Source organism: Homo sapiens, chromosome 11 (assembly GCF_000001405.40).
Source record: "Homo sapiens chromosome 11, GRCh38.p14 Primary Assembly".
Lineage (NCBI taxonomy): Eukaryota > Metazoa > Chordata > Mammalia > Primates > Hominidae > Homo > Homo sapiens.
Window position 1 is genome coordinate 27,407,901 of NC_000011.10, and position 18,223 is coordinate 27,426,123.

The 18,223-nt window shown below is 37.0% G+C and overlaps 1 protein-coding gene across 2 annotated transcripts in view; it reads right to left on the bottom strand.

The window, feature by feature from the left end:
* LGR4 (leucine rich repeat containing G protein-coupled receptor 4) overlaps positions 1-18,223 on the bottom strand; it is a 106,830-nt gene that overhangs the window by 41,940 nt on the left and 46,667 nt on the right. The window contains exon 2 of one of the 2 annotated variants that reach the window (NM_018490.5): positions 4,889-4,960. The exons of the other annotated variant lie outside the window; for it this stretch is intronic. Within the exon in view, the coding sequence (NP_060960.2) occupies positions 4,889-4,960 (72 nt within the window). The remainder of the gene's footprint in view (positions 1-4,888; positions 4,961-18,223) is intronic. 2 annotated transcript variants of the gene reach the window in all.

Genomic DNA, 18,223 nt, shown 5'->3' on the forward strand with positions numbered 1-18,223 from the left:
TGTGTGTGGAAAGAAAGAGAGAGAGAAAGTTAACATTTGGGAAATTGGAGTGAAGGGTATATGAAAAATTATGCTTGCAATATTTTGAAAGTCTGAAATTACCTTGATACAGAATATTATATAGATCTGTGTGCAGAATGTTTTAAATATGTTTGTATATGTTATTATCATGGATTGAATTACATATATGAATTGAATAGCTGTATTTGACATATGTTATGTGTGTGTGTATAAATATGTAATTCAATTATTTAAAACTATTTAATTTGACCCACCCCTGTTTTTATTTGATTTTAAACCTTTCTGTTTAAATTATTTACTAGCCCCGTTTGGTAAAGTAGTAATTCCATTTAGAATTAACTGTCCTACAGATGAAACAAAATGACAGGTAATCTTCAATTAGTATTCAGAGACCTAAGTTTCACTTTAGCATTGTGAAGTCTTCCAAAGTCAAATCATGTTTTGAAACAACTGGAATTATCCTAGTCATATAGTGTGCATTAAACAATAACTGTCCAAGTGCCAAAGCTGGCAATGGCTTCTACTGCTGTTGCCACATCAAAGTAACAGCCACAGCAATTTTTTCAGTGACAGCTTATGGAAAATTAGCTGGATATTCCTTTCTGCTGTTCCTAACTCCAACATTTTCACAGCTCCAAATTTCAGCCATCCCCCAAATGACTACCAATACCCAACAAGCCTAAAGGAGAGCCAAAAACATGTCTGACAACGTCACATCAGGCAGCAGAGCCTGTCAACGCTAAGTGAATGTTTTCTTAAAATTCTGGCTTTCCTTTTACATTGTGAACAGAAACTCCAACTTCTACCCCCAAGCAAAACCATCTCTCTTCCAAATGATATCAAGGAAGACTGCAATGTTTAAGATGATTAGTAAAATTTCTCACGGCGACATAGCATTTTATGGTTACAAATCACTTTTACATAAATTATCCCATATTTCCTTTACGGTAGTTCTGTGAGAAGTTCCATTGTAAAGAATAGGAAAGTAAAGTGCAAAGATTTCAGAACCTTTCATGTACTGAATTTGGGGCCACAATCTATGTTTCTATATTCCCAACAGGTGTTGGGGGAGAGCAGGAATCACTAGGTAACACTATTTATGAACTATAAAACTTTCAAAAAGTAGGTTAAATATACAGAAGAAGCAGGATTGGAAAAAGAAGGAGGAAAAAAAGTAGGTTAAATGTGAAAACAAAACAAATGGCAACAATAGTATCTAAAGTACATTTCACTGAAAAAGTTGGATGGAATATTTTCCTGAGAACAAATACATATCACTCACAGTGTTCCAGAAAGCACTGGGCTCTAGGGGCCTGACTTCAAGTCCCAGCACATCACTCACAGTGTTCCAGAAAGAACTGGGCTCTATGGGCCTGACTTCAAGTCCCAGCAAAACAGCATACCAGGCTCATGAACTCCAATAAGGCCCTTAACCTTGTCAGTTCAGCTTCAACTTTTGTGAAACTGACTTTCCTTACAGAGTTATGGGAATGGACTTCTGTTCATTGTAAAGCTCTAAACACATACTATTTACACTCTTATCTTTATCAAATGGAATTCTTTGGGTCCCAAATAGATCAGCTCTCTGTGTTCCCGGTCTCAGCAAATGGCACCCAGTTATTCAGGGCAAAAACCCTAGTCTCATTCCTATCACTCCCCAAATATCAAATTAAACTCCTTCAGAACAAGTCTAAATTTCTTATCTTAAAATGACCCTTCATTATCTGGCCTCGTCTCCTGACATTTTTCCATATGTACCCTTTAGTCTTGTCATAACAAGACACAACTTTATGCGTCCTAAAACTTCTGAAATTTTCTATGTCCATGCCTTCCACATACTATGAAGTTCTTCCTACAACACCCTTACTACTACCCTCATTTGGTTAATTCCTACATGTCCTTCAACACTCAGCAGAAGCTACTGTGGAAGACTATCCCAAATCCTACAGTCTTAAGAAAATACACTGTTTTAGGCCTTTCCTCCCTGCACACACGTCTTCACTATGATGCAACAAGTGTTAGTTTCATTTCTCCCCCTAGATCAATGTTGTCCAATAGAACTTTCTGCAATGATGGAAATGATCCACATCTGCACTGTCTAATATAGTAGCAACCACAGGCAGCTATATGAGCACGTGAAATGTGGCTAGTTCAACTAAGGGAACTGAATTTTTCATTTTATTTAATTTTATTCATTTTAAATCTAAACATAATAGCCACCTGTGGCTAGTGGCTACGGTGCTGGACAGCACAACTCTAGAGGGTCTGTCAACTTTGAAGATGGGTCATGCTTGTATCTGTATTCCCAGCACCTGCCACCTGGCATAGAGTAGGATTCAGAGTTTATTGAAAGAATAAGGAAATGTGTAAGTATCTATACATACTTCTTCTGTATTCTTGGGAAGTGATTTCTCCCAATACCCCAAGCATTCTATCACATTTAAACATTCATCACATCAAATTTTGCCAAACCCAGTCACATCTTGTAAAGCACACCTCATTAACTAACATGGAAAAACCCTCAGCAAATAATTTCTACTCAGGGCATTTGGCTTCATGATCACTCTTAAATGACTTCCAGATGACTCCTAGACAAACAGTTATGCTGTTTATGAAATATTACAATAGTCATGGCGGCATCATTTTGGAATGTCAAAATCAACTACACTGTTTAATAAGGAAAAAGCATAGGCTTTTTATATTTATTTTAGTATTTATATTAATGTGGAAAATAAATTCTCTTGAGTGCCTACAGTACTGTAAAAGTTATTAAAGACTATTTTGAAGTATTCTTTAAAAATAACATTCTGCTCTCCTAACTGAATTCATTTTTGAAACACCATACAACATTTAGAGAGAGTATACGGACTTGATTTCATGGGTTTCATTACTATGATAGGAGAATATGGAGAGAATATGACCTTGCTACAAAGAATCAGCAGTCAAATTCAATTTGGTTCCAATTAAAAGTCCTGGTTGGCAGAATTCATGAGGTTGGCATATGGTTGGTCATTTGAGATTTTAAGAAATCCAAGATGTGAACTTCGCTAAGCAGATTAACCAGGTTTGACTCCACATCCAGGTCTTCACTTCGAAATTCCTTAAAGTATAACTGGCAATCGAAGGCATCAACGAAGATGGTGTGCACACAGTGGCCCCACCCAGAATGAGGGGAGCTTCTCCATTGCTGGCCTGGTACATTACCCATCCCATAGTGATTATATTATACAATGGCTGAACAACCATTTGTTAATGTCCTTCCATCACATAATTACTTCTGTAAAGAGAGACTAACCCTATAGTCTAAAATTGTATGTGAAATAAAAAGGAAGAGGTAAAGCATCTTAAGGCTTCATAAAGGGGGTGGAGGTGGAAACTTCAAATGGATGGTTTGCTTCTTTTAAACTCAATTGAAAAATCTTAATTAAAAATAACTTTATTACAAAATAATTAATGTTCACTATAAGAAAAAAAAAAACAACAACACAGGAGGCAAAAATAAAACATATACTTCTACCCAAGGATAACATTTGGTATATACTCTTCTGCTTTTTTTCTTATGCACTTTGAAAATAGTAAAATAAACATTAGTCAGCATTTATATAACATTCATTCTGTTTCATGTACTGTCCTAAGCATTTAACATAAATGAATTCACTCTGTCTTCTCTAGAATACTATGAGGGAGGGACTATTATTAGCTGCACCTTTTTCAAAGAAATTGAGCAGAGAGAATAATTTGACCTAGCTCATAAACTTGTAAGTGGCAAATAATCTCTGTTCAACTTTTGCAGTGGGAGCATTATGTTTGACTAAGTAGTGTGGGAAGAAACATTTCTCTTTAACTACTATTTCAATATTCTATCAGAGTACATAACCTGGATATCTTATTAGACTCCTGTTCCCCATTCTCTAGGGGAGTGGCCGAGCTAAAAGATGGAAGACATTCGCTGACTTGGATCTAATACTCAACAGCTGGGCTGTATGACACAATCTGTAATATGAATTTAGATTCCTTCAGGGCTATATCTCTTTGATGTTCTTAGTATCAAACCATCACCTTCCTACCTCTATATATTATATAATCCATTAGCTTGGCCTGTAGAAGCCTATATTAACTTAATTCAAGTCGATTTTATTTTTTCACTGGGATTCTCAAAATATAATATATAGTTCCCAATTCTTTTAAAACCCGAAAGTGCCTATTTTGATTATGGACTTCAAAAAAGTGTGGAGAGCACAACAAAAAGGAGGTTGAAACAAGGAGAAAATATTTCCACAGTGCAAACTGTTAAATTGGAAATGTGAGATGCAACTGACAAGTTCAGAAACATTCTTAAAGTTAAAGGTGCTCTTAGAGACCTAGACAGTGTTTCATGCCTTCACCCCATTTCCAAAGGTCATCTGCAATTGTCCAAGGGGACCTACCCTCAGTTTTCTGCTGGCTCACTGTTGAAATTGTTGCTCATGGCCCTGAAACACCTTGTGTTATTTTTTGTGGTTCTGTTACCCATATAGCAACTCCTTGGTAACAATGGTAATTATACAGCAGCCTTGTTATCTCAGAATAACACTGTAATTAACTGGTGTCACTGCAGCATTTGTAGTTATAATAATTGCAGCAAAAAAGAAGTCCTATGGAAGTAGCATTTTTTTAGTTATGGCTTTCAAAAATAGCTTCAGCAACTATGCTGCTTAGAAAACCAAGTTTACTTCCCCCAAGAAACATGATTTCCTCCTCACAAAGCCCACTGAAATTAAGCTATCAGAATGTCTAACAGAAAACATCAGACTTTCTCTGTAGCAAAAGCTTCCAAAATGAATTGGGGAAAAAGACATACACACACATTTCTCAAAGTAATACTTACAGCTCTTCTAGAAAAGGAAAGTTCTTAAATGCATCTTCTGGCAACTGAGTAATGTTGTTCATACTGATATCCCTGGAAAACGTAAAGTTAAGAATATTGTTAATTAAGTGGTATGAAGCTTAAAGTATTTAATCCAACAGAAAACTAACTAGGTGTTACAATTTTGTGAAAGAGCATAGAAGACACATAGAAACAGTCACAATTTGGCTTCAGAATGCAATATTCAGAAAACACAGAAAAGTTAAATGTTCTGTTATAAATTATGTCCCATAATTTAGAAATGTACTCAGATCCTGTATTTTCCCCTCTTAAGTATCCTTGGAAAAAAGTCTCAAACCACCTAAAATAAGTGGGCCAGGGTGGCTTCCCAGTGCTCTGGTATTCACAGTACTACCTATACCTGATCAAAATAAACAAATGAATACCCTAGGAACGATATGTAGAATTTATAGGTGAGGGTGGCTTCTGGAGTCACTCAAGGACAATAAAAGCATGTCCTAGCTCTACCCTAGTCATATTTTCTTCAAAACCTATAAAAGTCCTCCAGGTAACAGTTGTCAGTGGATTTCATGTTCCGCCTATGAACAGATGCAGGCTAAGGACAAGTGCGTACATGATAGGTATGTGGTCCATTTCCAGTTTTCCCTTAAGAGCGTCCGCAGAAAGAAAACTCACCCAGCAATATAACTCAACAATTCACTAATTCAAACAGCTAAAAAATACTTTATTAACCATTTCCCTCCTCCCTGGCAGCTGCCTTTTGAACTGGCTTTCTCTGCCACACTCCACTTGACATCAGCACCATGAAAGACAGGTTAAAACAGCCCCATAAGGGAAAGTCCCAGCATGCGCTGGGGCAGTGGAGTTGCCTCCTTCTGTTCCATGGTGTTTAATTCTGTGGCTGAGCCCTTGGGTCTCCCCTCTCTAGAACCTGGCATGAAACTTCACATGTAGGACATGTCCATTAGTATAGTACATATATTGGTATGAGGAAGGAGAAGAGAAATGAAGCATACCGAAGTCAGCTTACAACAATAATACTGTGTTATTCCATCCATTCCATCAGGTAAAATTTTCTTTTAAAGGAGGCGACACCTTCAGTATCATGCTAGGTACGTCCTTTCTCCCCATCTTTCCTCTCACTAAAATTTAGAAATGGAATCTACATCCTTTCTTACTAGCCTTTCCCAAAGCAGGTTTGGAAAAGTTTTTGGCTTGGGAATAACAGTAACAGTAGCAGCAACAAAAACAGCAGGAGCAGCAGCTAAGATGCAGTGCATGCTTTTAACATGGTAAGACTACATAGAAAATCTTACTTTACAAATGGGGAAACTGAGGCTTACTGAGGTTAAAAAAGCTTCCCCAAGACCATTCAATAAGCAGTGTAACAGAAAACACCAGAGCCCATGACCTTAAGTGCAAACGATGAGTCTTCTTAAGTATTATTTGAATCCTGTTATTAATACTTCTCTCCAGTGGTAGCCAAGATGTAAAACAAATACTTGAGTCCCATCAAGCTTAAAAACTGGGAGGAATAATGCCCCTAACACCTTGACATAATTATCCATGAATCTCTGGAAGAGCACTTTTGCTTGACAACCGGGGTTTAAAAAAAAAAAGAAAAAAGAAAAAGAGGACCAGGAATAGCTTTAGCAATTAAGGAACCAACATTAACCAACATTAATATACATTTCTTAGCACAAGAAATTTCCCTTTAGATGAGTCTTATGACCATAGAGACATACATGCACTCTAAAATGTTATATCATTGAAAACAACTCAAATCCTACTAAAGGAGCTTAAAAGAAAAGCCAAATTACTATGCTTCTCTAGGAATTACTATTTTAAAACCCAGGCCCCAATACTACTTTAGTCAGTGATCATTATCCCTGGGGGAAGGGGCGAGGAAATGTTTTGTTTTTCATAAACACTCTAGCAAGATACTGGAGAAATGGCACCAAAACAGGGGTCAGAAAAGGCAGGCGCAACTCCCACACTGCCACATAGCCATTGTACGATAGTGGGCCTCCATCTGCTCATCAGTAAATTGAAGCTGATTGCTTGGGTGGCTTCCTGGCCTGACATGATATACTGTCACCTTTATACTGACATTATATACTGATTCACCCTTTTCTGTAGTTTATTCATGGAGGAGTCTACCTTTTCAGATAAAAACAGATGAGATTCATTTTATAGAATGTTTCTGAAAAGTTTATCATAATGCAAAGTTTAAAGACTATCCCTCTGTCATTATTAAATTACTAAGTCACTCTCACGGGAGATACATTTGGCCTTAACCAATAAAATCATTCTCAAGAATACAACAAAACATTTAATCATATCGAAAGCAAAATAATGATCCAAAATGAGTAAACAATGATTCTGTAAAATATCAGACAGTTTTGGTGCTTTTCAGTCATTCTAATAAAAAGAGGAAGGACAACAAGAATTGATTGCTTTACAAAATGAGGCATTCTGTACAGTTTCCTCTAAGCTTGGCACACCTGAATTCAGGTGAGTTATCACTGTAACAGAAAAACTGATTAATTTCCTCATCAGAAAAAGGTCTGGAGAGAACCAATTAATTGCCTCACCAGAAAAAGACACATAATTAGAGACAATTTACACCACACTATTCTCTGCATTCCAGTTTTTTAAAACATGCACACACACACGCACAGCTCTGATTTTTTTCCTTATAGTAACAAGACGTAACAGGTAGTTTTGCTGTGAGCTGTAAATGCAATTAGTGAGACTCCATATTTACAAACTAACATATGTAAAACACACGGTGAGTTTTTATTTCAAAGCTTCAGATTCAGGAGTAATACTTATTTCTAAATTTTTCTTAATTTCACACACCCGGAGAAGTTCCCTCTTTACAGATGTTTTCTCTCATACTTTCTGGGATTCAGTTACAACATTTATGAAGTAAAAAGTTGGGTGTGGGGGCAGTGGTGAGCTACAAGATGTTATCTCCGGAGAAGCTCTGGAAACCTGTAGTTACAGAGTATAGTTGCGTGGGTATCCATTTAAAATAATGAGGGCTGATGGTGATAAACAATCTATAGATAGTCTTAAGAGTAGATTCTAGATCTGACATTACCAACACCATAAAGAGAATCTGAAGTACACAGACTTTATAAATAAGAGGTTAGAAAGGATGACCTATGACAATAATTACAAATATATGAGGCTCAAAAGCCATATAAATTATTATGATACATAAATATAAGGAAGTTGTTTAAAGAATTTTCAGCCAGAAGATGCTCCTACAGATTAGTACCTTCAAATTCACATGAGTTGTACAATCTTACCAGTGGCATCAGTAATAAATCGCAGGATTTCACCTTCTGGGATAGAAAACCAAATGTAAATATATATCATATGAGGTCAAAGCACCACCAACTCCCAAATGTCTCAGAAGGGCAATTTCCAGAGAGCTGATGGCCTTACTGGGAGTACGGGCTTTGGCGCCAGACAGACCAAGGTTTACATATGGACTTACTACCACCAGCTGTGTGATCTTTGGCAAATTGATATTTTCTCTGCCCTGGCTTCTTCGTTTGTAAAACGGAGGCAGTAATAACTGAACCTTATAGATTGATGTGAAGATCAGAAAATGTCAGGTCATGTATAATAAGTTCAACAAGAAAGAGCTGTTATCTTATCATCATCCATGTTTTCGCTGCTCCTGGAAGCCATCTGAATCCAGTGGACCAAGACCAGACTAAAAGGAGACACCACACTGCCTTTGTTGGCCTTCTCAGAAAGAAACCACTTTTACAGAAGACACTAAATGTTGCAGAAGACCTAAAACTTGGAGCAGTTGTTCCTAAACACAAAACTAAACTCCAGAACCCCAGGAGACAAAGATTTTAAGCTGGGAGAACCCTTCAAGATCAAATACTTCATTTAAACAAAAGATTAGAAATACAAAAGCACATCACCTTCCTAGAAAAATAAACATGAACTCCCAAATACCAGCAGTCATTGATTTCAAAATTAAAATTTAAAGGGTGCAACTGTTTAATTGAAACTGCCAAATCTCTCCAGTGGTTAAACTCTCATCGTCTTTTCCCCCATAAAATTCACTAATGCTAAAGTATCTACAGAGTAAAGAATATCATGTTTCAACAAGGTACCTTTTAAGATCCCTGTAAAATGATCCCTAAGCAAGCCTAACCTGTTTGCTGATGGCTAAGCATGTACCACTGTGGACTCTAACACTGCATCCTTACTGGGTCTGGGCCTTCTGCCACAGAATTATTTAATTTTAAATATACCGTGATTGACCCAATGTTATCTAAATTTGAACAAGCCCTCCTATTTGTATTAGATAAAACTGTACTGCTACTACTATATTGTTAATTTTATCTCAAATATTATCTGGCAGTTTAAAAAGTCACTAAATTATATACAGGTTCAAGAGAACACAGGGTTCTCTAAAATGTTCTCTAGGAAAAGAAAAAAAAAATGATGGTGATGTCCATAAACTCAAAAAACACATGTTGATAATGACCAAGAATGTCACCTTCAAATCTTAGAAATAAATAAAAAAAACTCTCCCAATGACTTTTCCAGGGTCTTTGGTAATCAACCAGAAATTTCAGGCCAATCTCCAGTTAACGGATGTCTACAATATGACCAAAAACTGAAAACTAAAAATGAACTTTGCAAAATGCCTCCAGTGGAACAAATTTGAAGGGAAGGTCTCTCTCAACCACAAGTAGTAAAGACACACATAACACCAAAGTTCTAATCAAAGTTCATTAAGAATTTGATTTCTGACACTATTCCATATTTTGGGGCAAGTAATCTCATTTTCTCCCCACCTTTTTATGATAACAAAAGTAACCACTGTTGTTTTTAAAAAATTGAAATACAGAGAAAACCATCCACAATATCAACACCCACTGGTAACCACAGCCATATTTCATGGATTTCATTACAGATTTTTTTCTATGTATGGTATATATTTTTACAAATCTGAAATCGTATAGTTCTGAACATGTTCATCTCCTGACACCTAAAAGATTCTTCATTTGCAAAATGAAAAAAATCTTCCTTGAAAATACCTTTGAATGAAAGTGTAAACACTGAAGTCTAATATATATCAATGCTATTTTTAGCAGCCCATACATCATGGGATTGGAACATCTTTGCTATTGAAAGCCACCATGCCAAAAGGAATAGAGGTTAATTAAGGGCTTCCTTTACAAGAGGGAAAGGAGATATCCTGTCATCCATTGAACAAATATTTACAAAATATCCATTATGCACATATGTGCAAGGTACTGTACGTGGATAGTAAGGCTTTTATGTCAAAAGATGTTATTATCAATAGGTTTTTTTTTGTATTAAACTCCATTAGTCCACTCTATTCTTAACTTGCTATTACTGTTTAAGACACTGTTGCAACATTCAATTAAATTTAACTGTTTTCAAATTGCATTATTTCATTTTGAAAACAACAAGAACAGCTACATGAAGATACGGCTATTTATACGGCCGCAGAAATGCGGCCAAAACAGTATATGTGCCATGTTAGATTTTGCTCCAAAGATATTTTTTTGACCCTACATGTTTTAGCACGACTAGAATCCAACCAAGTGTCACAATAGACACCCTTCTAATGTCTGTGTTCCATTTCTACTACAAACAGTTTTGAGCAGTAGGATAAACTGGCTCCATGCTGTCTGACATCTTCTGTTTTTTTCAGGTACCAAGGCTGAGTACTTCCCAGCAAGAGGAATCCAAAACATGCTTCTCTACAGCCTTGGAATCCTTAAGAGGACAGATGCCACAACACCCATATTGACACTTAAAAATAAACATTAATTATGGCAGAGACAAGTTATCAACTTGTAAAGTCATTATCTATTTAAGGTACTTCAACACCCTAAGTATAATCTTTCTTAACAACTTGGAAAGGCTAGAGAAAATGTCACCTTCAAATCTTAGAAATGAATTTAAAAAAACTTGTTTCTATCAGAAAAATGTTTAATTCATTTTATGATCATCTACTTTCGTGGATTGAAATCTTTTTTTTTTTTTTTTTTGAGACTGGAGTCTCACTTTGTTGCCCCAGGCTAGAATGCAGTGGCACAATCATGGCTCACTGCAGCCTCAACTGCCCAGGCTCAAGCAATTCTCCCACCTCAGCTTCCCAAGTGGCTGGGACTACAGGCAAGCACCACCTTACTTGGCTAATTATTTTATTATTATTTGTAGAGACCAGGTTTCACTGTGTTGCCCAGGCTGGTAAAACCTCTACTTTAGTACCTTTTAGGATATTCCCTTCAAAGACTTTCAAAGCTGTGCTGTCATTGTTAAGAAAATGAAACAACACAAAAAAGATTGGGAAGAAATATTTGCAAAACATATAAAGAATTTATATTACAATGTAGAAAGAACTCTTATAATCAATAATAAGAAAAGTCTGATTTTAAAATGGGCTTTTAAGATTTGAACAGATACTTCACCAAATAAGATACACAAATGGCAAATAAGCACATGAAAAGATGTTCATAGTAGTTACGAAGGAAATGCAAATCAGACCACAATGAGACATGATACAACTTTTAGAATGGCTAAATTTTTTTTAAATAGCAGCTGACAATACCAAGTACTGATAAAGATGTGGAACAACTGGAACTCTCATATGCTGTTGGCAACAAGCAAGATGGTACAACCACTTTGGAAAACAGTTTGGTAATTTCTTATAAAATTAAACATATACTTATGACTATATGACCCAGCAATCCTAGACATAAATTATATATACATAATTATATGTTTTAATATATATGTATTATATATAAATATAATATATAATAATATATATAATTATATATATACACATATATATGTGTATATATATCCCCAAACTGGAAACAACCTAAATTAGTGAATGGATAAAGAAATTTTGGTATGTCTATACAATGGAATGTTATCCAGCACAAAAAGGAGCAGACTACTGATACAAGCAACAATATGGATGATTTCAAACACCTTATGCTAAGTAAAAGAGGCTAGATGCAACAGGCTACATATTGCACGATTCCATTTATACAGCATTCTGGAAAAGGTGAACCTATAGACACAGAAAATTGATCAGTGGTGGCAACAGTTGGGGGGTGGAGAAAAGGCTGGCTACGAAGAGGCATTAAAAAAATTTATGTGGTGATAGAAATGATCTATATCTTGATTTTGATAGCAGTTACACAATTGTAGTTTTTCAAAACAATTGTATATTAAAAAGTGTGAATTTGGCTGTATGTAATTAAGTCTCAATACCTGTATTTTGTGGGTTTTTTCTTTTATAACTAAGAGTATATATGATAGTGTCTTCTCACATTTCCCCCTCAGAAAAAAAATAATTCATCCTATGTCTAGCCATTCTCCAAGTCCTACTCTAAATGAAAAATTCTGATGCATAGCTCTGTCTTGAGAATCGAGAAATATGGGGCTCTTTTCTGTCTTTGCGATTTTGGCTATCAATTTGTAGCAGAACACTGGGTCCAGTTTCTTCATTATCTCTTTACTGAGCACCTATTAGGTCTGTGCCTGTGTGCTAGGACAAGTGAGACACAGTCTCTACCCTCAAGAGCTGTCTGAGGCAGTGAGAGGAACAAAACAAGTAAATACTATGACGTGTGACTCAGCAAGTGAAGATGATCGAATCAGACCTGGAGCTCAAAAAAGGCTTCCAACACCAAAGCTGTTGTGCACAGGTACAAAGGGCAGATATTACTAATATCAAAGTTAAGTATATCACATATAAAAATAAGTATGTTCATAACAATTATTTAGATTTTTATATAAAATATATATTACGTATAATATACATACACACATGTACATTCATACACACACACCTATATATGTATATGGTCATAATGTAATTGCAATCCACACTGGGTTCATACTAAAAGAAAAAATTTGTTGAAAGCCTCTGAACTAGATAATGTGTGTCTTGGGGGAAGGTGGAGGGCGCCTTCTTGTCAGAAAGAATATCATGTGTGAAAGCATGGTCAAATGAGATAAAACCAGAGTGGTCAAAGAGATAAAACCATCAAGGAATTAGAGAATTACAAGCAGTATGGTCCAAAAAGATAAGACCACCAAGGAATTTGATCATTATAGGCAGTATGTGTACAAGTGGTGAGAAAAGCTACCAAGACAAGCAAAAACTACATCCCAAAAGGCCTTCATATGTGACCTTTAGAAATCAGAACTTTATTCTAAAAGTGTGGAAAGCTGCCAGCAAAGTTTATGCACATCAAATTTGCTGTAGAAACGTCATCCTGACAGCCATATATTACAATGGGACGAAGGGAGGGGAAGCTAGGAAGAAGAAACCCAGACCTGCTTAATTCCAGCTTCCTTCACTGTAAAATATTTTGTACCAACTAACCTCTAAGGCCCTTTCTAAATCTATCATGATTACTCCTACTTTGACATTCCTGCTCCTGCACATTCCATGCATAATTATGGAACCCTAAGAAACCCTTAGATTCATGCTTTTCCTAGCTGTATGTGTAGGCCCATTTGCTTGTGTTAGCAAGTATGGGAGTAAGTACAGGCTAAAATAGACCCCCTTCAGAATTACAAGAGTTCAGCAATTAAGAAAGACGCATGACTTCATTTCCAAAGGTACCATTTTATGCTGTAATTGTTTACACTCTTGATGAAGCAATACAGCCTAGGAGACATTTAAGGGTGTGTTCTTCAAGGGGAAGCTAACACTAGAAGGTAGAAAAGAGTGAGGATAAAACACTGGTGTGTAAATATCACAACACAACAAAAGGTATGTGTGGCTTAAATTACAAATTCTTAAAAGGGTAACTAAAAAATAAAACTATTAGATGGTGCCCACCTACAAAGAAAGAAAGAAAATAAATAAAACTAGTTAGACTAATTCAATATTTTCTAGCTTTAAAACAAGTTCAGCTTCTTTTGGTTTTGTTTATTTGTTTGTTTTTCTTTTGGTCTTTTTAAACAGGCTAGTTTTCACAAGTGTGGGATATGTTCTAAAGAGAAAAATATAAAATGCTCTAATTCTGGAGTAATGTCTATTAAATGGCAAAGAAAAATAAATGCCAAAGACAAAAAAAATTACTTTCCTGTCTCTAATTTGATCAAGAACCCTACCATCTGGCAACACAGGGAATAGATAAGGGTTAAAACTATAATATTCCTTGTTTTCTTCCTACCTAACTGGTGTTCCCAGGCATCTCTGGGTGTCAACAGCTGTTCTGGTAACCCTACGATGACAAAACAGTGTTTATTACCAGCCAAAACACACAGACAAAATACTATTTCAATAGTCCATTTAACATCAACAAGAAGTATTATAAAGATTATCGTCTGGGCAAATTGGAAACACTCAATTACTTCATCCTAGCAGACAAAATGCACTATTCATAAAGAAAACAATCCAACAGCATTTACTATGGTAAATATTCTAATTAACTAAATGGGTTATGTTTTATTATGGCTACACTTATTAACGCGACTGATAGGAAAACATTACTTCACCGTCCTTGCCTTCAAACATGCACGCCCACGAAAACTTCTGTTTAGACGCGTATTTTTTAAACTTCAGCTCACAACCAATTAATAGATTGTGAAATCATTTCAATGGGTCATAGCCAACTTTTTTAAAAAATTGAAAGAGGAAAGAATAGAACAGAAAAATGCCAGAATGCATCAAATGTTGTAAAGGTAAGTATCAATTCAGGAAAATGTTTCAGCATGTACCTGCTTCTCTCTTCCTGACTGCAAACTCTGAATGCCCTGATTTAGCCTCAAGTTCGAATATATTGTCCATGAAACAGACTCAAAACCATGAGTTCAAGGAATTGCCTACTCAAGTCAAATATTTCTTATTCCTCCATTTAAACTGAATCAAAATTACAGCTGCCTTCCTAGTACCACAAGCTTGGCCCAGTGATTTTAAAAACCTTTAAAGTTTCCCTTTTCTTTGTCCATACCCTAATCTTTAATATTTTAGTGACATGGGCCCCCTAAAACTGACAGTAACAGTATGAGAGAATGCCACTGAGATCCCATGGGGTATTTACAAGAATTTCTTACACTTCTATTTTCAACTGTTTCTATAGAACTGGTGATAAACTGAGTTAGCTGTATTTTCACTCTGCTACTCCTGGGTTCTATTGAGTTTTTAGAAGTATACATTAACATCGTGACATTTTTTTCACTTACTGTGCATAAAATGTTTATACATAACCTGATAAAACCATCCCTAGATAACATATTGATTTTAAGATTAAAAAAACAAAACAAAGGGAAAAAAACACAAAAAACCTACACTCCAGTAAATCCCTCCTAATGCCCCCAGTCTGAAAGGGGCCTTCCAATAAGCACTGTTTGTACATCCAATAAGTGACCTAGGCAAGAACAGCTCCAGTTTCTAAGACACTAAGGCACTGACCTCATTATGTTGAGGCAAGAGGAGAATTCTAAATGATGAGGCAATCCATATACCCTGAAGACCAGCTGCCAACCGTCAGAGCCTGAACCCAAAGGCAAGCTTCCTGGGATTTCACCATCCCCATAATGCAGGCTTGTGGAGCAATCACTTCGCCTCAGGCGATGAGGCGTGCAGACTCCCCTCCCAAACACATACCCCACACACACTCTCTCTCCTTCTCCCCTCTGCTCTGATGGCCATTTTTTAAAGGCTTATAAAAATGTATTCTATCCTTAAAGAAATGACTCAAAATTATAACTGGGATGATTCAATTGTTTCTATTAACTGTAAGACAATAGACATTGATAATGATGGTTTATAAAATGTCACTAGAAATATTCCCTTGGGAATGACTTATAACTCATTAAAATCACTAATGATTTATTCAGCAGAGAAGAGGCTATGCCATCAGAGCATGACAATGTCCTGAATCTTGGGGAGCAAATATTCTTAAACCTGGTTTGTAATACTCTTGGACAGCTCCACTTGTGACAAGTCTTTAAGTTCTAAAAAGTCCCAGAAACAAACAAAAAGGTTAAATTCTTTTTAATTTTTGCAATCAGAATGAATCATATGGTCCCTTGTTTCTTTCTCCAGGGAGAAAACAACGTGCTACCATGAAATTTGCTTAATAAGAAAAAACAGAGAAAAAGCATACACACACCCAGACACAAACATAAATTTCACGGCAGAACATAGTTTTCTGTCCAGAGAAAGATGACTGAGAGTTACTGCTTTATGACATTTACCTGAGAAAATTTCTCAATTCTGCAGTTGATCTGGTGTTTTATTGAAGCAGTTTCTGTTACTAAATTAGTAAGCAGAGAAACAAATGTCTTAGAAAATAAGCTCCTACAAGGAAGAGAATATCTAATTCCTCTAACCTCCAGCAAAACCAGCCACACACCTCTAATTCACTTACATACACACACACATACACATTATAAAGACCATAATCTTAAAGAATATAAGGCCAAGCACAGTGGCTCACCCCTGCAATTCCAGTACTTTGGGAGGCCGAGGAAGGAAGATTGCTTGAGCCCAGGAGTTTGAGACAAGCCTCAGCAACATAGTGAGGCTGCTCGGGAGCCTGAGGGAGGCTACTCAGAGGCTGAGGTGGGATGACTGCTTAAGCCTGGGAGGTTGAGGCTGCAGTGAGCCAAGATGGCACCACTGCACTCCAGCCTAGGCAATAAAGTGAGACCCCACGCTTACTAATTCTCCCAGGCCCAGATGCACACTTTCTCCAGGTAGTCCCTCTGCTGTCACCTAAAACCAGAATGCAATGGGAGCTGATCACACCATTGCAGGAGAAACCCCACGGAGCTCACGGAGCTCATCACAGAAAGAAGGCCACATCACAGAGGGAGCCCATGACAGTAGAAGCCCCATCGCCGTGGATGCTCAGCTAAACTAGCAACCCGACCTGATCATGTTTGTAATATTAAGATTAGGTTTTTTGTCTGTTTGTTTGTTTTTGAGACGGAGTTTCACTCTTGTCACCCAGGCTGGAGTGCAATGGCGCGATCTCAGCTCCCTGCAGCCTCTGCCTCCCGGTTCAGGCAATTCTCCTCCTTCAGCCTCCCAAGTAGTTGGGATTATAGGCACGTGCCACCACACCTGGCTAATCTTTGTATTTGTAGTAGAGACGGGGTTTCACCATGTTGGCCAGGCTGGTCTAAACTCTTGACCTCAGGCAATCCACCCGCCTCAGGCTCCCAAAGTTGCTGGGATTATAGGCGTGAGACACCTGCCTGGCGATAATATTAAGATTAGTAGCCATCCAGTATATCGATCCCCTCTGCTTAACTTTATCAGTCTATTTGCATAATGTGGAGTCGGCTTTTGAACTTCGATATGTTGACAATCAGAAATAAAGTAATGGATCTTCACATGGTTGAAGAGATACATAGCAATAAAATAAAAAATAAAGAATGTAAGATTGGAGGGTCAACTCAGATACCATGAATTAGGTGACAACAATAATATATTCTGGTTGGCCTGGTACAATCGCAGTTTATAGTTATTGTCTCAGCACAGTTTTTTTTTTTGTTTTTTTTTTTGAAACAGTCTCACTCTGTCACTCAGGCTGGAGTACATGTGGCACAATCAGAGCTCACTGCAGCCTCGACCTCCTGGTCTCAATAGATTCTCCCACCTCAGTCTCCTCAGTAGCTAGGACTACAGGCATGCAGGGGCTGATTTTTAAAATTTTTTTGTAGAGACAGGGTCTTGCTTTGTTGCCCAGGCTGGTCTGGAACTCTTGGCCTCAGCGAAGATCCCACCTCAGCCTCCCAAAGTGCTGGGATTATAGGAAGGAGCCACCATAACCAGCTCCATCATAAATATTAATAGTACACCCTTTCACTCTCAAAGGTATCCTACTATGGACAGTAAATGAACTGACCATCCCACTAATAGCAGTAGATATGGCTGAATGAAGTTGGGTGGGTTGTGATGGGAAGAGGTGGAATTTTTGGTTTGGACTGCCTTGGAAAAAGGGCTTGAATAAAAGGCTAATTCCTCATCTGTACAATATTATGATAATATGAAAAACTTAAACTTATGGATAATCTGTAAAGTTTATAAATATCTCTTTGATGGATTCCCTGCTCTTCTCCCTGGACCCCTATGCTCCTCTGTTAGGGTAGGGTCTGTGTTTTGCTCACTATTATATGCCAAGCCTCTAGTGCCATGTGTGGTCATAGCATCTGTTGAGTGAATGATGTGCCAGACATTGCATTAAATGCTTTACATAGTAATAGTAGTAAGTACTTACTTGGCACTTCCAAAGAAAAAACAGGCTTAACAATTTTCCAACCATCTAAATCAAAGAG